General features: G+C 40.2%; 1 protein-coding gene across 2 annotated transcripts in view, besides 1 other annotated feature; it reads left to right on the top strand.

Moving 5' to 3' along the window:
• Positions 1-20,829, top strand: part of ZMAT4 (zinc finger matrin-type 4) — a 367,237-nt gene that overhangs the window by 333,517 nt on the left and 12,891 nt on the right. The window lies entirely within an intron of this gene.
• Positions 17,165-17,666: an enhancer, noted in NCBI's record as "H3K27ac-H3K4me1 hESC enhancer chr8:40404163-40404664 (GRCh37/hg19 assembly coordinates)". NCBI's record gives its function as "activates a minimal SCP1, AML or CMV promoter by ChIP-STARR-seq in naive H9 embryonic stem cells {active_cell/tissue: H9 hESC(naive)}" and the evidence as "EXISTENCE:reporter gene assay evidence [ECO:0000049][PMID:30033119]".

Here is a 20,829-nt window from a genome sequence, read left to right as displayed (position 1 = left end):
TCAATATACTCTCGACTTATAAAAAGAGAAGTGATCAATACAAAACTCAGTGAGTTAAATATTGTCTCCTACATGAACACATTCCTGGACTCCCTTACCATGGTAAGTTTGTCCATGAGGATTTCTTTGCGTTCTCCAGCTTAGTGTTCATAAAGCAAATATTTCAAGTATTCTGGAACTACTTGACCTCATTCACGTATTTTCTCTTTTTGGAGGACAGACCAAAAATAAGTAATTTCATGATCATATTTATTCAGAAAAGGCTGGTGGAGATTAGATGTGTGGTCTCTGACAATCCGAGGGAGCCTGGGATGAGAAAGTGAAAGGACATCCCTTTCCTCAGCCACTGGGTGGAAACTCATTGGTTTCCCCTGTAGGAGACCTGCCATGGGGAGCAAGGGTAGGGGCTGGAGGAAACTAAGAGGCCCTCCTGCTCCCTCACAGCCTACCAGCATCACCCCAGTTTCTGGACTAGTTTTCAGAGTCAAGGAACAGCTGCCTTTAAGGACAGAGCCACTGTGGTCAAATAAATCATATCCTTTACCCTCTGTCACAAAATTCATGGGTCTAAAAAGAGAGTTGGAGGTGGAGAGAGATACCTTATCAAGTCAAGCAGAATCATGCATGTGGAATAATTTCATAAGATATCATTGTAATTCAAATTTTAAAGTCTAGTTCAGAACATTTCATGTTCTTATCTGTTTTTTCATTTCAAAATTGTTTCTTCTACTAGTAGTGCTCAAAGAAGATGAATTGCATCTGTTACCTTTGGATTTAGACAGCAGATATATTTATGGTTTCCTAGCATGTTCCACTTTTGCTAGAGACCTAATACTTGAGAGAGATTCAGTTCTGCTCTGTGTATTTACTCTGTGTCTAGCTAAGTGTCAGATACCGCAAGGATATAGCACCAGCAAACAGTGTGGTTCCTGCCTGCAATAAACCTATTGTTTAACTGAGGAGACCAAATTAATAGACGAAAATAATCAAAGAACATTTAAATGCTAATATATTTGAGACTGACTTTATATACCATTTAAGGACTTGAGAGAAGGGAGAGATGATGCAGACATGAGTAATGAGAGAAAGCTGCCTGGATGAGATGAACCTGGGCTGGGGAATGAGAATGATTTCAGTTTGAGGTGGAATGAGTTTGAGGGGCCTAAGAACATTCAGATGAAGATGCCGGTGGGCATTGAGGTTTATGGCTCTGGAGTTCAAGAAACAAATGAGGGCTGAAGATTCAGATTCAGGATGCTTAGGGTCACAGGAGCTGGTTGAAGTGTCTGATATGGGAGTAGATGAGTTCACTCAAGGTGAGTGTGTACAGTAAGAGGAACTTGAGGAATAAACACACATATGTTTACACTGCACACATGTGTGCACACACACGTCGTGACAAAGGAAGAGAAGTCAACACTTTTTCTCATAATGATATATTTTGTATTTCTTTTCTAAGTAGGAGAACAGGACAGATTAGTGCTTCAGAAGTCAAGGGAGAAAAAAACATTTCAAGAAGGAAGGTGTAGAACAAACTGATTAAATGCCAGAAAGAGTCAAGTAGAAAGAGGATTGACAGATGGCTTGTCAATCAGGAGGGGTTGTCATTGTTTGCCTGGGGAGTTTTGTAGAAGTTTCTAGACCATGATTACCACAATGGCTGGGGTAGAAAGAAAGAGGGGGAGTTCCTTACCAGTGTGCCCCTGTATGAGGGAGAGTGCCCCAGCAGCCCCATTGATGACAGCACCCAGGAGGATGGAGGGTGATGTGTAGCTGTTTGCTATGCATAGGGGAAGGGGTTTGCATAAGAACTCAAATTATAACAGCAGAACCCTCTTTTAAAATAAGTAGCAGGTGGAATTTCATAAAAGTAGTCTTTTTTGGAATTAGACATGTTGGGTCAAAAGTGCTACCCAGTGAACTTCCTCCCTGGCCCCTGCTGATCCCTAGAACTCTGAGGAACCACTGATAATCATTGATGATGGGATTTCTGAGAGGATGGCCTAAGGTGCCTACCTGTCTTCAGCTTAGGAGATGGGAGAAATTCTGACAGAATCTGGCCGGGAGTGAGGGAGTTAAGTTTTAGACACAGTGCTTTTGATGGAATGGTGTTTTGCCTGAGCAGGAATGTCCTACAGGTTCTTGGAAAGCAGACCTGATATGAAGACTTGAACCAGACTTTGAATGGACATTTTGAAGTCAGCTAAATGGGTACAAGTTAAAGCCAGGGAGAAGACGTATCGTCCAAAGTAGAGAAAGGTGCAGAGAGAAAGAACCGTGCCCTAGGCATTGCACCTGACTGACTTCAGTCAGAGAAGCAAGACCACTAGGAGGTGTGTGTCTGTCTCTCCCTCTCTTTTTCTCTCTTACACACAGACATACACTCACACATGGATTTATAACAGGGATTAGACCTTACCAAGGGTGTCCAATCTTTTAGCTTCCCTGGGCCATATTGGAAGAAGAAAAATTGTCTTGGGCCATACATAAAATACACGAACACTAATGATAGCTGATGAGCTAAAAAAATTGCAAAAAACTCTCATAATGTTTTGAGAAAGTTTACGAATTTGTATTGGGCCACATTCAAAGCCATCCTGAGCCGCATGCAGCCTGTGGGCTGGGGGTTGAACAAGCTTGCACTGAGCCTTTGTGAGAGCTGGTTCAGCACCCTCTCTAATGCTGGTGCTTGGAGCCTGGAAGACAGACTGTTGGAGGAGAGATTTTGGGTGGGGAAGAGAAAGTGCTACTCAGACCCTGAGCACCAGCTGGGACCTCTAAGGACAGACTGAAACCCGAGTTAGTTCTCTCCACCTTCAACCTCAATAAAGTGGTAGTTCTGCAGGAGAACCTGGTGCTTACATGTGGAAGCTGTGAGCCCTGACCTTCTGAGAGTGAAAACCAGAAACATATAGCTAAGGGAATTATAAGAAACGCTGTGCAGGCTGGCCATGTTAGTACACTGTAAAACCACCAGAGTACCCTCTAAAGCTGCCAAGTAACACTACACAGCAGGATAGTTAAATGTCAAATGAAAGACCACAGCATTAAAAGTGCTGAGTTTTCTTGTCCTTCTTTGAAAAAAAAAATTAAAGATATAGTAACTTAAGATGTTTCCATTTTTGTCAGAAAAATGAGCTTATTTTATTAACAAATGACACTGAATCTCTTTGCACAGAAGTCTCTTTGCACAGTACACAGAAAAGCTTATAAATCAAAGACGATCTTTTCTTTAAACAGAACTGTATGATTTTAATGAAAATATTCTAGAATCATATGTGTAGTGCCAACATAGAAAATATGGAGAGGTAAATCTCTACTAAGTAAAAGGGTTTTTTGGGGACTAATATACAAGAAATAGGATTGCAATGCGAGACATACATAAAGACCAGGGTGGCCTCCTGCATGTCCAGAGAACAGAGGAAAAGGTTAGGGTTTAATTGGGGAAAGAGTAGATTATACAGGTTATTTTGAAAGTTCATTGGCTGGCGATGTCTTTCAGGATCTGGCAAGCTCTGATGAGTGACAGTGGGGGCATTTCTAGGTAAAACTTGTAGTCTCGAAGTCATAGCAGCTGTTTCTTTGGATTGAGTTTGTGAAATAGTGTGTCAGGCAAGTGTTTTTGCATAAGTGGCTGGCTGTCCTTGTGATCATTCATATTATCAGGCAAATCTATTAGGACAGCCCTCCCACCATGATCTTCTCTGTCTTTATTTTGCCGGAGTTTGACAAGTGACACAAGACACAAGTGACTCCATTTTGAATCTCAAAACTTTCACAGTAAATGTTTAATATATATCTAGGATGACTTGTACCCAGGAGGCTAAAGCATTGAAATATCACCTGGAGAATTCATAGCTTCATCTGCATTCTGAGATTACTTTGAGGGGAAAGATATGATTATTTGTTTTCCAAGAAAAAGCATTGATGAATAAAATGAAAAAATATATTTCTGCTGGTACTGTGGCATAGGAATTTACTACAGAGCTTTAATGGAAAATAGACTGTCTATAATTGGCGGTGTTATTATTTACATAATTTGTTCAGGACAATGAGTTAAGATAAAATGTACAATTTCCCTTGGTCAAATTTTATATATATATATATATATAAAGTTTGACAAGATTATGGAAGATAATTCAAAAGGAAATCACTTGGCACTGTGTGACTAGCTTGAGCTAGAAGTGTATTAGAGGCACAGGTATTGACAGTGGCAGGAAGCCATGGACAAACTGTCATTAGGACAGGAATTAGTGGGAGAGTGGAACAGACCTCAGGGAGCAAAAATGCACAAAAATTACACCTGACATGGAGTCTTTGCCCAGCCCCAGTATCTCCTCTGCGGTTTCTGCCTGAGGAAGATTATTGCATAAGTTTGATCCCAAAGGGGCCATAGGGATTATTTCTGGGTCATCTATTTTTTTCTATTAACATACTCAGGAAAAGCTCTAATCTAATTTCACAAACGTGTGTTTGTATTTGTGTGTACTTATGTGGTTGTGTATATCTGTGTGTTTCTGTAATTATGTGTATTCGCATGTGTGTGTGTTTTTGTGTTTGTTTGTGTGGTTGTGTGTATTTGTGTGTGTGTGCCTTCAGTTCTATATCTACAACTCTGCCCTATCCACTGAGTCAACTGAAAAATTATATCATTTATAAATTTTGAAGGGAGACTTTATTTTTTATAAAGGGTTACAACCTACAAGATGGGCATTCTGACAGGTTGGGAAGCATTGCCTCTAGCAGAGGCCAAAAAGCAGGCAGTTCACAGGAGGGGAGGGAGGCACAAGGATTTGTGCTAAACAAGTTGGCCAAGTACACATATTTAACAGGTTATAGGAGGAGGTATGAATATTCATGAAGGGGTTAGGTTATGTTAGGAGGAGGAATGCATATTCATGAAGGGGTTCAGTATGATGCATGCATACTGAACAAACATGCATGTTACATGTGTCCCATGTTCGCTTTGAGGTGGAGACTTAACATTTAAGTATTATAATTAGGCCCTGTATGTGAAGAGGTGAAGCAGGGACATGAAGGCACTCAGTGCACAGCCTCTGTAAAGCCAGCCAGAACCAGTTCACAGTCAGTGGTCTTTTATCAGGAGAAAGTTACAGAAATCATTCTATTGTGCAATCAAAGCTATAGTTATGGTTGTAGAACAGGAGGACTCAGTTAGTCAGTGTCTGGTGGTGGGCGAGCTGCAATTGTTTCAACACTGCTTGTCTCAAAGCCAGTGCTTGTTAGCTGCTGAAGAAAAAGACAAACCTGTGGCAGTTAAAACATAGTTTATTAGTTTATTCTTTAAGTGCAGGGGTGCGAGGCTTAACCCTTTTCTGGCATGGCCTTAGGTCCTGTTTATGATTTGGTATCTTATTGCCACAAAGAGTCTGTTCTGTCAGTCTTATGGCCCCTCTGTTCTGTCAGTCTTATGTTGGTTGGCTGTCGTGTCTAAAACACAAAAGGGCGTGGGCCTAATGAGGCATATCTGACCTCTCATCCTGTCGTGGCTGGGATCTCTGGGGTCCCCTCGGCCAAGAAGCGGGAGCCCGTTCAGTCAGTTGGGGGCCTTAGGATTTTATTTTTAGTTCTCACATGGGACTCAAGACTCTCAATTTAGATGTGCAGCAGGCATCTCAAACTTCACATGGTCATAAAGAGAATACTTGATGTCAGCCAATGATCTTCTACCTCCTTCTCCCCAAATCTCCCCTTATTTCTAAATAGCACTATTTTTATCCAGTTTCTCAAGGCAGAAATCTTGAAGATAATGGCAGTTCCTTCCTTCCCCTCCATTTCCACATCTGTCCATAAGCCAGTTCTGTGACTCCACCTCCACACGCCTCAAATCTGCCCCCTTTTCTCCCTTTCCCCTGCTAGTCCCTTGTCCAAGCCTCCAGTCTCTCTCTTTGATGGGCTGCCCACGACAGCTTCCTAACTAGCTCCCTGTGGGGACATTTGCCTTTCTATGTGCCATTCCTCACAGCAGCCAGAGTGAACATTGGAAAATATCATCCAGATCATAGTCCCCTCCGCTGGCAATCCACTGACAGCTTCCCATTGTACTCAGAAGAGGATTCGGACTCTTCGTGCTGGCTCCCAGAGCCCTGTGTAATCCAATATCAACCTACCTCCCTGCCTTGGCTCAGGCAAATCTCTCCTCCCCACCACACCCATGGCAGCCTGGCCGGCCTTCTTTCTGATTTTCAGGTAGCCACACTTTTTCCTGCCTAACTGGCGTTTCCTGCTCTAGGTGGAATTGCTTTCTGATGTGCACTGCCCCCAGTCATCACATGACTAGCCCCTTCTTGTCAACCCAAGCTCAGCTCAAATTTCACCTCAGTGTTCTCTGTCACATCATCCTATTTTGTCTCTACCTAGCAGTTAACCCCCATTATATTCCCATCTTTTTATCATATCAATCTATCAATCAATCAGTCTATCCATCCATCCATTCATCTATCCATCTATCATCTATCTCTTCTTTTACAAATAGAGTAAAAGCTGCAGAGGTGTATGGCTTTTCTGGGTCTTGTTCACAGCTGCATCTCCAGGGTTTAGAAGGGACCAGCACACAGAGGGCAGGCACTGCACTCTAATGTTGGGAAGAGACAGCCAGAGAGAGGGGATGTTATTATAAGGTGGGAAATGCCTTGTTAAGAAAAAGCAGAGAGTGCTATGGGAATATAAAAGAGGGGCTACCAACCTCACCTGTGAGGAGAACTTGAAGAGCTGGTACTTGACTTGAGTTGTTGAAGAATGGACAGATATACAGGAAGAGTAAAGAGGTTGGTTCAGGACCATAAGTAAAGGCTGATTTATATGTTTAAGACGGACACTTGCATGATATCTTCAGGGAACTACAAATCTTTAAAATAGTACTAGAAAAAACCCTGGAATGCAGAGAGGAAAGACATAAGCCTGAGACATTAGCAGGAGGTAGGAGCTAGAGTAGGAGTAGGAGCTAGATTAAGAACCTAAATGGTATTTTAAATTAACTATTATATTCTTTTTATGGCTGAAGAGTATTCTATTGTGTATATATACCATATATTCATTGGTCAATGGACATTTAGGTTGATTCCATATCATTGCTATTGTAAATAGTGTTGCAATAAACATGAGAGTGCAGGTATCCTTTTGAAATATACATTTCTTTTCCTTTGGGTGAAACTTGAGGTCATTATGTTAAGTGAGATCAGACAGGCACAGAAATACTGATGCCTCATGTTCTCACTCATGTATGGGAGCTAAAAAAAATTGATCTCATGGAGGTAGAGGGTAGAATGATAGGTATCAGTGTCTGAGAAGAGTTTGTAGGTGGGAGTGGGGGTTAAAGAGAGTTGCTTAGTGGGTACTAACATCCAGTTAGATAAAACAAATAAGCCCTAATACTCATTAGCAAAGGAGAGTGACTACAGTTAGCAACAATGTGTTCTATATTTCAAAGCAGCTAGAAGAAAGGACTTAAGTAGTCCTAACAAATAGAAATGATAAAAACTCAAGGTGATAGATATCCCAAGTACTCTGACCTGATCATTACACATTTTACACATCTAACAAAATACTCACATGTACCCCATAGATACGTAAAATATTTTGTATCAATTAAAGTATTCTACATGTGGTGCAGTCACATGGAAGTGATTTTAATTCAGCAGGTGGGAAGTTGGTTTAAGAAGGAAAAATCTAGGAACAGAAATAACATTTAAGAAACTATTTAGGTAGTCCAGGCAGGATGTGATGTGCTTCTTACTCAGGAGAGTGGTTGTAGGACTGGGTGGAGAACGGGACAAGAGATTTATCTAAGACATTAACAACACTGTTAAGTTGGAGAGAGGGATGAGTAAAAGACAGTTGTATAAAACAATCCCAGATTTCATATTGAAAAATTGGATTGATGATGGAGGTATCACTCCAATAAAGGAGGAAATGCTCGTTTGAGAGAATGAGAAAAATCATGAGTTGAATTGTATTCATGTTAAATTTGAGAAGTCTATGAATTATTAAGAAGAACTTTTTAAGTAAAAAACTGAACAAGAGTGTTGGGAGAAGCACACAATAAGTTAAGGGTGGAAATACAAGATTTGAGAATTCTCATCTAGCGGTAGTTAAAACCATGAGCATGGGTGCTAGGTAGAAAAAAGGATATAGGGTAAGGAGAGAGGCAAGCAAGGATAAACCCTAAAAAACAACAAAATGTAAGTGTGGGAGGAAGGAGATGAAAAAGGAATTGCTATAGAAGTAGGAGAACCATGTGACTGGTATCTCAGAATAGAGGGCAGAGTTTTAAGGTGGGGGACCATTGGCAGTCAAACGCAAAGGAGAAATATGGTAAGATAAAGTCCAAATACCATCTGCATAGTCTAGAAGTGGGCTGTTTTGATGACCTTAGCCAAGGCAGTCGGTTGAGTGGTTGGGAGAGAAAACAAATTGCAGTGTGTTAAGTGTTAAATAGAATGGGAGAATCCTGTCTGTGAGTAGGAGGAGGGACCCACTCTGAGATTTGGGGAAGAATAGAAGAGACCATAGTCTATTATTCATCTAGTGAAGGAGGCTGGGGGAATTCATGCTGTAAATGATCAATCTCATCAGTGATGAAGGAATGATCAGTCACAAGAGGAGTAGAGACCGTAAAAGAGACAGTATGGACTCTGACATTGTAGTTATGTGTTGCCACTACAACTCATTAGCTGTGTGACATTGAGAAAGTAGCTTATCCTCTGTGAGTTTCAGTTTCTTTATTTACAAAATGGGAATTCCACTTCCTGTTTCATGGGACTATGAGAATTGAAGATCATTATCACAAATCTGAGGACAAGTGCTTAGCCTGAGCCAGCTTTTACTAAATGTTACCTGCTATTTTCGTGATGGTGGTTGTTAATCTTGAAGACTGTGGAGTATATCTGAGATGGTGATTAAGAAGTATTTGTAAACTAAAAATAGAACTACCATATGATCTAGAAATCTCACTACTGAGTGTTCATCCAAAGGAAAATACATCAGTATATCCAAGGGATACCTGCACTCACATGTTTATTGTGGCAGTATTCGCAATCGCAAATATATGGAATTAACCTAAGTGTCCATCAATGGATGAAAGGATAAAGAAAATGTAGTATATACACAATGGAATATTATTTGGCCATATAAAAAGAAAGAAATCATGCCATTTGCAGCAACATTGATGGAACTCATTATGTTAAGTAAAATAAGCCAGGCACAGAAAGGCAAACATCACATGTTCTCACTCATGTGTAGGAGGTATAAAAGTTAATCTCATGGAGATAGAGAGTAGAATGATAGATACCAGAGGCTGGGAAGGATGTGTGGGTGTGGGTATAGGTGAGGAGGTGGAATTAAGAGAAATTGATTAATGGACACAAAATACAGTCAGATGGAAGAAATAAATTCTGGTATCTGATAACAGTAAGGTGACTATAGTTAGCAACAATGTGTTGTTTATTTCAAAGTGGCTAGAATAGAGGACTTTAAATATTACCAACACATAGAAATGATAAATACTCAAGGTGATAGATATCCCAAATATGCTGGCTTGATCTTCACACATTCTATGTGTGTAACAATATATCACTTATACTCCATAAATATGTAAAATACTATGCATCAATTAAATTTAGAAATGAGAAAAGAAGTATTTGAGAAGTAGTTGATGAAAGACCAATACGGATATTTTAAATATTTTATTCATAGATAAAAATGCTATTGATGACCCAACTGGGATGAATGAGAAAGTGGTATGAGACAGAATGACATTTTTCCCAAAGGTTTTTGCTTGATTTCCACATGTTTATGATTGCTTAACATTTTCAGACAAATTCTGTGAGGACAGAAGTTTATATCTAGTTTTTTCGCAGTGTATTCCCAGTACTTAGTTAATTAAGTACTTAGTTAATTAACCAATTAGTAGTTAATTAACTAATTAACTTAGTTAATTAACTCTTTAGTTAATTTTTGTTTGTCTTAAAAAAACAATGGTTGGTTTGTAGTTATCAAAAGCAGAAGCAGAAGTTGGTGGTAATCTTGAAGGTGGTGGTTTGATTGAGGTTGTATTTGAAATCTGTTCTATCCTTGCTTTTTACCCAAACACAAAAAACTTTAAGTGACCCCCAAAAAAGTATTTAGGGATAATGTCACCTTATAACGTGTCAGCTTATAACTACAAAAACTAAAAAGGGACAGAAATACTAAAACCAGACTGTGGTGACTTTGATATGCTATGATATGATATGATATGACATGACAAGACATGTATATGTATAATACCTGTACCCTTAAGTGGCATGAGTGGCCATGAAAATGCTCTTGTTAATTTCTTTCACCCTTGAGAGTCCTCATCTGTAAACTGATGTTATCAAGAGCTGTATCATTGGATGTGATGATTAAATGAAATAAATATAAAGTACCTGGTGTGCTCCTTGGCACAGAATGAATAATTGGTAAATTTCTTTCTTTCCTCTCCCTATCATCTAACAGTCTTTGGTTTAGGAAGAGATTGATCTAGAAAGTGTAATAGAGATGGAATCATGTTGGTTTGAAATTCAGGAATTCTGAATTCTCATGCCATCCATATCATTCATTATCTATGCAACCTTAGGTGATCACTTAGTATCATCTATACAATGGAGAATAGTAATTTTTCCTACTTCTCCAGTGGAATTATTGTAAGGATGAAATGATATCAGGCATGAAATTCTGTCTGGATGCCAGGTGCGACTATTTTGGTCCTCACAGCCACCTGTTGCCCAGATAGACATTCCTATCCTGGGATGACAGTCAACCATAGTGTTGAAAAATTTTTTTGGCATTTTTAGGTCTCAAAGCTGATGGCACAAGAAATTCAGAAGCTAGCTGAAATGCAGTATGCCACCCTCTACTTTTAATGAACTTCAAAACATCAGAATGTTCAAGTTTTCTATTAGCCATCCAGGGCTGTATAAGAAATTACCCGAAAACTCGGTAGCTTGAAACAACAAATATTTATTGCCTCATAGTTACTGTGAATCAGGAATGATGTCAGAATGTAGTCTGGGGCTACAGTCATCTGAAGGTTTGAGTGGGGCTGCAGGATTTGCTTCCAAGGTGTTGCACTCACACGGCTGTGGGCAGGAGGCCTCTGTTCCATGGCTCTTTCCTCCTAGGATGGAAGCTAACATTTTCCAGGGTGGCCAGTCCAAGAGAAAGAATAAGGAGCGGACACAGTTCATTTTATGACCATATCTCCAAAGTCACACACCTTTAACCCATTTATGCCTGAGGTTACAATTTTTTGAATTTTTACAATCAGTCCTTGGCGATGACCTTGAGCAGCAGGATATAAATAACTCCCACGTGCTTAGCTTTCCAATAATGGAACACTAGGCATAAGTGGCTACTACATTTTTTTCTATTTGTTAGAAGCAAGTTAAGTTCAGCCACAGCGACGGGAGGTGGGGTGAAGATTAGGCTCCTCCTCTTGAAGGGAAGAGTGTGAAATAATCTGTGGATGTATTTTTAACACTACTACATTGCGCTATAGTCAAAGTTAAAGAGGCCCCGTGTGGCCTTTTGGTCATCTGCAGAGTGTGTAGTTGCCTGTGCTGATGACACACTTAATATAGGAGACTCATCCTTCTCCACTCATCTCCCTGGGTCTCAAGTTCTCCCAGTAGAGTTTGGCTTATGTTTATATATGTGTTTTCATACACTGTCTCCTTTAAAATATAATGTCTCTGGCAAAACAGAACACAATGCCTGGCACAAGTAGGAGTTCAGTAAATGTTAGTTAAATGTATTGAAGTCTCCTTAACACAAATGGCTTATCCAGTCCTTTGCAGTACACAGAGTTTGGTATGAGAAAGAGGGAGAGGACATAAAGACTTGGATAGTAGGAATAAGGGAAGGGGACCAACTGGGGAAAAGATGCAGAATTTGGTGCTCAGAGCATAGCTTTATGACTGCGTGTGTTTAGGGAGGGCTAACTGTGAGACCTGAAGGTGGACTAAGCCCTGTGAAAAGCAATAGTAGCAGCTTGATTGGTGGCAAGATGACCTAAAGGGTGTACATTGGGTACATTTCTCAAAACCTGCAAAAGAGAGCTCACTCAGAACTGGAGTTGGGAATAGTGCCCAAAGAGTAAATGGATCCAGCAAGAGAAGAGAGGGCTATTATGAGAAATCTTTCCAAGTAGATTTTAATCCTGAAGACATACCATGTTGTAAATTCATCTCAGACATTTAAAATGCATTAGATGCCATTATGGCCCTGGCTGCTGATTCAGCCGGCATTTGTTGAGCAGCGATTTTGTGTCAGACACAGTTCTTAAGGCGTGCACATTTATGATCTCATTCAATCCTCACACACGCTGTATGGGAAGTTTTAGTACTCTTCTTCTTTGATAAGAAATTAGTGCTCTGGGAGCTTATGTGTCTCACTGCAAGGAGAAAAACTGAGATTTGAATCTAAGTTTTCAAACTTTATCATGCCACAACTTTCATTTCTGAAAATGAGAAATTACAAGTGCAGATATATCATGGATTAAATCACATTTCTTAAAATATAGCATCTACCTAAGTGAGAGACTAGTATTAGGTAAGCAGCGAGCCCATCTTGTTTCATGAAAAATACCTTGGTCTCGACGACAGAGGTTTATTGTAACAATGCTTAAAGTAAGAGTGGTGATTTTCTTTTTGGAGTTTGTCCTGCAAATTCAGATCTGTCCCGCTCAGAGGTATGGTTGAATCTTCCCCAACACAAATCATCTACCTTTCTTGATCATCCAGACTACACTAATACATCGTCTACTATATGAAAACTAATAACCATGTAACCACTACAGTAGTCAAGCATAACACAATTGCAAAATGTTAAAGCCTTGATTGATGATGATATATTTAATTGAAAGTTTAATAGAACAACGTGATATCTTTCTCATGATCCTTACTGATTAGAATTTACTCATTTTCTGTTCTTCCTTCAAGGAAAGAAAATATTTTCTCTTTTGCCCTTATGTTTTTCTGGGTTCTTTGATTTCTACCCCTGTCCCCCAGGCTTGTGTGCCATTCATTCATCCATGTATTCAGTAAACATTAATTCATTCATTAATTCTATAAACATTAACTCTTTTAGCATGTATTTATTATCTACTATGTGCTAAGTACTTTCCTAGTCACTAAAGAACCATTATGGATTGTAGGCCAGCCACTCTGCTCACTTTTGTGGATACAGAGATGTTGTATGAGACAACATCACTATAATAAACAAATGAAGCATAATAGATACAATGGCATTTCAGGTGGGATATAGTAGGGACATGAAAATGTACAAACCTAATATTAGTGGTTCTGTTATATAGTTAAAGTCTATATGATATTCTCCTATTATATATTGTTTTACCTGCAGGAAATAAGCTATTTTCCAGAGGAGAAACCTGTCGACTAAAAAGTAGGTATATTAGTCTGTTCTCATGCTGCTGTGAAGAAATACTTGAAACTGGGTAATTTATAAAGGAAAGAGGTTGAATTGACTCATAATTCTGCATTGCTGGGGAGGCCTCAGGAAACTTACAATCATGGTGGAAGGCAAAGGGGAAGCAGGCACCTTCCTCACAGGGCAGCAGGATGGAGTGACCCCAAGCAGGGGAAATGCCAGATGCTTATAAAACCATCAGATCTCGTGAGACTCACTCACTGTCACGAGAACAGCATGAGGGAAACCACCCTCATGATCCAATTACCTTCAGCTGGTCCCACCCTTGACATGTGGGGAATATGAGGATTACAATTCAAGGTGAGATTTGGGTGGAGACACAGAGCCAAACCATATCAGTAGGCCTTGACAGATGGTCATTGTGTTAGTGTGTGACCTGTTCCTCTGAGAAGCAGATTCCAAGACAGAATTAAACATGCAGGAATTTTATTATGGAAAACACCTGTGAGAGAAATGTGGAAGGATCTAGGAGGAACTGGGAGAGCTGTTAGACCACTATTCTAAGCCTTAGTGGAAGACAGAGGGAAGGATGGTCAGGTGGAAGCATCCTGGACACTGTGCAATCTCAGAAAGCAGGGCCTTTGGGAGGTGGAGCCAATGTTTCTCTTCAGAGGAGCCCTCTGGTTTCCAGAAGGGGTCTGCTTTAAAATCCCTGCTGCATTCATGGTCTGGGAGTGGCCCAAGAGAACCCATCACAACTCAGGAGTTGGAACCTTGATTGACTACTCCCCATAGGGAAAGTACTGTGAGACACACTCTCAGGGCTACCACAGTCACCCTGAGTTGATACTCCAGGCTGAGAGGGAAATTGGCAAAGAATTTGTTTAAAGCAGTTTGGTGAGTTTTAGGAGAATGACAAGCTCAATATGGCAGGATTATAAGGTGCCCTTTGGTTGGAGAAACAAGAAGACAAAAAGGGAGAATATTGAGAAATAATGTCAAAGAAATTCTCAGTACATTAGACTCTGATATGATCAGTAGTCAGATCAGAGTCTAGTGTATAAATCTAAGGAATTTAGGCAATGAAGAGAAATTGGCAAATTTTAAGTAGGGAAGGACTCAATTAGTTTTTTTTTCCTTCAAATAAATCAGTTAGTGGACATATTAGAAGATGTGATAAGAAGCAGGGAGATGAGTTGGAACAGAGTATGTTTTGAACTATAGCAGTGACAGTGGAAATGTGGAAGCTAAAAAAGTATTTGAAAAGTAGAATTAACATCACTGGATCACCAGTTGTGTGTGAGGAATCTCTGATTACCTGGTTTCTGGCTTGGACACTAGATAGGAGCCATTCTCTCATCAAAAGATTGCATGAAGCGACACTGGTTTGGGGGAAAACTAGTTAAGATTTGGACAGTGAAGCATTTTAGGCCTCTCAGATACTGATTTATCCAGCAGCCAAAAGATAATTCAAGGCTTGAAATGCAAACTTGGGAGTTGTAAGCCTTTCTTTCTCAGGAGCTGTTTTTAGCACCCCTAGTGGAGTCAGTCAACAACCTCAAATCTTGTAAAGGGAGGGTGTCTTAGTCTGTTCTAGCTGCCATAACAAAATACCTCAGACTGGGTAATTTATAAAGAACAGAAATGTATCTCTCATGGTTCTGGAGGCTGGGAAGTCCAAGTTCAAGGTGGCAACAGGTTCAGTGTCTGGTGAGGGCCCATTCCTTATAGATGGCAGCTTCTTGTTGGGTCCTTACATGGCAGAAGGGGCAAAAGGGTTCCTTTAAGCCTGGTTTATAAGGCCTCCATATTCATGAGGGTGGAGGCCTCATGACCTCATCACCTCCCAAAGGCTCCACCTCTTAATATTATTCAGCTGGGGATTACGTTTCAACATATGAATTCTGTGGGTGGGAGTACAGACATTTAGACCATAGCAAATGGTATTGGTTAGCTTGCTTCTCTTGAATCTTGGCATCTCCTTTGACCTTTGTCAGCTTAGCAGAAGTCAGTAAAGAGAAGAACGGCCATAAATTGATGTAATGCCTACAAGATCACAAGATTCCAAAACAAGTTTTTCACCAAATGGACAAAGAATTCTATCAGCCTCATTCCTGTCTTTGTCTTTCTCTCTTTTATTGTTTTGTTTTGTTTTGTTTTAAGACTCTATTACTGCATTTCAAGCAGATGTGTGGAGTGAATCTGCACACATTGTTCAAGAACCCCCTTATCTCTGGACCTCTTATGAGCGATGGTGAGACATTATCTGACTTTCTTGACTCAGCCATGCAGAACTCACCCACAGAAATCATCAGAATCTCTAAGAAAATAACATACTTTGGCTTTAAATTTCATTTCTATTGTTTAAATTTCATGACATTAATTCAGGCAACATAAACATTTCCAACAAAACTTCTATGCATAAATCACAGTCTTGGGGGAATGAAGAAGAGAATGAAAGATTGTTGTGATTCTGTGGAATGTGAAGAAGCTTTCAAAATAGCATTTTAAAAATCACCTATCTATGCCAGGAGATAGCTATATGCTTTATATCCTTCCTCTTCTTCCTCCTCCTTCTCTGTTTTTTTTTAATCTTCTTTTAATGCACTAAATCTTTAATGATCAAACCACCCACTCTGTGGTTCAAAATAAACAAATGGTTTTCCATCTTGTTCAGCATAAAAGTGTGATCTTGTGTCATGGCCTGAAGGGTCCTTCCTACACCTAAATGTTTGATTATCTCTTTGCATTCCTTCCAACTTCTCACCCTTCTTCCCTGGGCTCCAGCCACATGGATTTCTTAGGTGCCCCTTGAAGACCTCCGTGGAACTCTGGCTTCAGAGCTTTGCACTTGCTAGTCCTTCTGCCAGCTCTTCCCCTGACAACCACATGCCAAATGGTCATTTCCCAGTGAGGCCGTCCCAGATCACCCTACTTAAAATTGCAAATTCCTGCTTCCGCATCCTTCATAACACTTCTCCTGCTTTGTTTTTCTTCACAGCCCTTATCATTTTCCAATGTCCTATATAATGTATTTATTTTCATTCATCGTGAGTCTCTCCATATTAAATATAAAGTGTGGGTTTTTGCCACTTTGATTTTCTGCTGTATTTTCGGCACATTAAAAGTGATTAAGAGAAATACCTAATGTAGATGACAGGTTGATGGGTGCAGCAAACCACCGTGGCATGTGTAAGGTAACAAACCTGCACGTTCTGCACATGCACCCAGAACTTAAAGTATAATTTTTAAAAAATAAAATAAAAGAGTGCCCAGCTCTAAATCTGTGTGAGGGGTAAATATTAACATTCCCATTCATGTGTAAAGGGATTGGGCTGAGAAAGCTTAAGTAATTTGCCCAAGTCACATGATTCATAAATTGCAAGGTTAAAATTCAAATTCAAATCTGTCTGGCCCCAAGGTCCACGCCCTATCCTTCATGCTGTGGCTTCCTTCATTTCCAAACAGTGAAATGCTTTCATAGAATGAAGATGAGGCTTCTTAACAGCGAGCTGCTGCTTTCAAAACTCTGGATTTTAGATCAGGGAGTCAGATTGTGAGAGACCCATGTCAGAGGTCTAGAGAGGAAACAAACACCATCAACAAAACAGCGGGATTTGCAGGCTAACCCCAGCAGCCGTTCATGAGATCACTGAACACCTTCTTCCTGGCTCCCAGGCTGGGTTGCCCGCACACAGACTGTGGGAAAACTGGTGACACACGCAAGCCCGCTAAGAGTTCCATTTAGATTGCATGCACAGATGTCTAATTGGAGTTCTATGTTTATTAACATAAGCTGCTTTGCCATTCCGAAATGGGAGTTAATCAAAATATTGCAAATGATGCACCTTAAGAAATGTCACTCTTTATCATGATTGCATTTCCATATTGTTGCCATGAAAGTTTGCTGTGTGTGTGTGCGTGAGTGTGTGTGTTTATGTTCAATTCTTCTAAAAATCTACTCTACTAAGATCAGGCGCTGGTGGTGGGATGTGTCTGAATCTATGTTCAGAGGAACTGGCAGAGGCAGTAGGAGCCACAATCCATCGCAGCTTTATGTACCACACATAAACTACATTTCTACAGCAACTGGTTAGGAGCAGAGTGATTTCCTGGCATTTGCAGCTCACACCGAGCTCTGGAGGGCCTTTCTCCCTTCCCTTTCTGTGTCTGTCACCAGGGAGGAAAGGTCATCAGCTGGAAGCAGATAATTATGCTGCCTCAGGAACTGGCACTTTCCTGTGAGGACCATTGGAATGTAATTCATTTCTTCTGTCTTTCTTCTTGAGTATTAACAAAGTCAACAAAAAGGATTTTCTTCCCACCAGGACTTGCCTGCATTGGATGAGAGCAGTCAGCATGAATTTTAATCAGAGTGACTGTTTTTCAGCCCCAAATTTTCCATAATCAATTTCTTTTTGTCTATTAATTGAAAGTGAACATAGAGTTTGAGAAATGATGGATCCTAACACCTCGAATCCCACTCAGTCACATTCAGAGTTGAGCTCTGGTACGTCTCCATAGAACCTAGAGTTATGTAAGGGATGCATTTGAAGATGATTTTCTTTTTTTTTTTTTTTTGTTCAAGTGATTCACCCTGTGGTTTCTTTAAATAGGTCAGCTAGTGCTGTAAATTAATTTACACAGGAGGGAGTCAAATTTTCCTTCCTCTTTTTTAAAAAGAAAATTCATATTGAAGATGAGATTCATGTGGATTTTCTTAAATTTGCTTTTCTTTTTACTGTGCCTTGTGGTTTGCTTTGCGTTGTTTTCCTCCAGCTACTCTTACTTTTGTGGGCTGTGTGAAGGAGAGACCTGCCCACCTGGGACACTCATTACACTGGCTCCGTAACTTCCTTTGTGATCAGAACAGCCTGATGCTGATGGTGTTTGAATAGGGATAAACATATAGACTTTTTTTTTTTTTTTTTACTGGGCTTCAGGGTGAGGGGGTCAGCATTTCAGAGGACTGCTAGGATTAGAGCAAATTGTTCCTTGGTTACTTTTTTCCTGCTTGGTATCACACCTTTCTTCCTTTTTATTGACTGTCTCAATTCCTAGGGCTGCCATAACAAAGTACCAAAAATGAGTGACGTAAACAACAGAAATGGATTCTCTCGCAATTCTGGAAGCTAGAAGTTCAAGATCAAGGCATATGCAAGGTTGTGCTCCCTCTGAAGGTGCAAGAGAAGGGTCTGTTGAGGCCTTTCTCCTGACTTCTGGTAGACCTTTGGCTTGTGGCAGCAGAACTCCAGTCTTCACATGGCTTTCTTCTTGTACATGCTCTTCTATGCCCAAATTTGTCCTTTTCATAAGGACACCAGTCATATTGGGTTAGGAGTCACCCTACTCTAGTACCATTCATCTTAACTAATTATATCTACAATGATTATTTCCAAATAAGGTTGCATTCTGAGACACTGAGTGTTAGGACTTCAACATATAATTTTTGGGGGGAGCATAATTCTACCATAACACTGACTATTAGTTATCAATTGTTGCTTAACAAATCACTCAAAAACTTAGTGGCTTCAAACAACAACATTTATTATCTCACAGTTCCTATGGGTCCAGAATTCAGGAATGGCCTAGCATAGTGTAACTGGGTTCTGGTCTCTAGTTCTGAGCTTCTCCTGAGGCTTCAATCAAGGCCATCATCATCTTAAGGCTCAACTAGGGGGGAGTCTGCTCTCAACCTCACTCGCGCAGTTGCTTGAAAAAATCCACAAAGATTTGGTTCCTTGTGGGTTGTTGGAATGAGGGTCTCAGTTCCTGTTGAACTCCAGGCCAGGGGCATCTCTAGGCATGAGAAGCTCACAACATACAGCAACTCACAATGATCACAGTAAACAAGCAAGAGGGCAAAAGAGGAACAAGATGGAAAACACAGTATTTTATAACCTAATCTTGGAAATAATAATACGATTCATATGCTATTTGTTAGAAACTGGTCATCAGACCCAGCCTACACTCAAGGAGAGGGGATTATACCAGGACATGGATCCCAGGATTCAGGGACCTTTGAAGGCAATTTCAGAAGCTGCTACCTTGGTCCATCCTCTGAGTCATCCTTTTTCATGAAAACTAGAGCTTGTTTGTAACTGATTAGTTTACTTGACTTGCTACTTCCCATTAGAATTCCTGGGGTCTACTAACCTTTTTTTTCATTTTGCACTGTCTCTGCTACTTTTGGTACAAAACGACAGTGTTTCTGCTGGTGACATTAACTAAAAAATATTGTGGGATTTCTGTGAATCTTATTTGAGTTTACTGTACTAGAAAAAAAGTTATACCCACAATTCTCTCCAAGAAAAGCCCTTCTCCACCTTTGGGGTCTGCTCAGAAGCCTGAGAGATCATGTCTTGATGCTTCCTAGTCGTCCGACTGTTCCATTGAGACAATCGGTAAGACACACCTTTCATCTCTTTAAAAGGCTCTTTGTGAGACAGAATAACACGCTGATCCTTTGATCTTTTTGAAGTCTTAACCAGTAGTTATGTAGTCTTACCTGTGGCTATATGTCTATACCATGTTTTCCTGAAAGTACTCAAAAGCCATTTCTTAATTCTAGCATATTTTGCTGTCCAGAGAGATTGAGACTTTTCAAAATTATCAGGTCTTGGTTCCTTCATGTTTAACAATTCTTCCTTCAATTTATCACTCTTACAGTTTACTATAAGCAGCACAAAAAAGCCAGATGGCACCTTCAGCCCTTTGCTTGAAAATCCCAGCTCAATCACTAAGTTCATTAGTGCTGGCCAGGGCAGAGTTGTGAGGTTGAAAATAGACTCAGTTGGCCCCTCCCACACATGTGCACCTCCCTGTGGCATCCCCTTCCCTGACTGCCCTTCCCTCTCCACCACTGGCTTCAACATTTTTTGCAGTTTTTGACTGCATAGGGTGAAATTTCCAACACCCAGCTTGACATGTCTTGTTTCCAGTAGCTTCAATATATTAAATTCAATTCCCTGGACACTTGGAAGTCCATGATGATAGTATTCATCATATAAGCAAATCATCGATAATGCTTTGGTTGGCTAATGTTGTTCCCTCTACCTTATCTCAGTTAAAATGTATAAAATAGTCTTTAAGGGGTGGTAAGGTCATATGATGATATAAAGTTATAATTCTAATGATTTCTACCTGAATAGCTTTACGACTACTTTACCATTTATAAAGGGCTTCCTTTCACTCATTTATTCCTCACCAAAGGCCTATACGGCCAGTGTCTTCTTAATTTAGAGATTAGGGAACTGAGGCTCATAGAGGTGAAGTCATCTGCTCTAGGTTCCATGATTTAGACGGTGCTGAGTGGCACCAGCAGGACCACACTCCACAGCACTGTGTCCCATTCCATATCCTCGATGTCCTGCTGGAACAATTTGGAGGATATCGTTATTT

Source organism: Homo sapiens, chromosome 8 (assembly GCF_000001405.40).
Source record: "Homo sapiens chromosome 8, GRCh38.p14 Primary Assembly".
NCBI lineage: Eukaryota > Metazoa > Chordata > Mammalia > Primates > Hominidae > Homo > Homo sapiens.
This window is presented reverse-complemented; position numbering and strand designations above follow the sequence as displayed.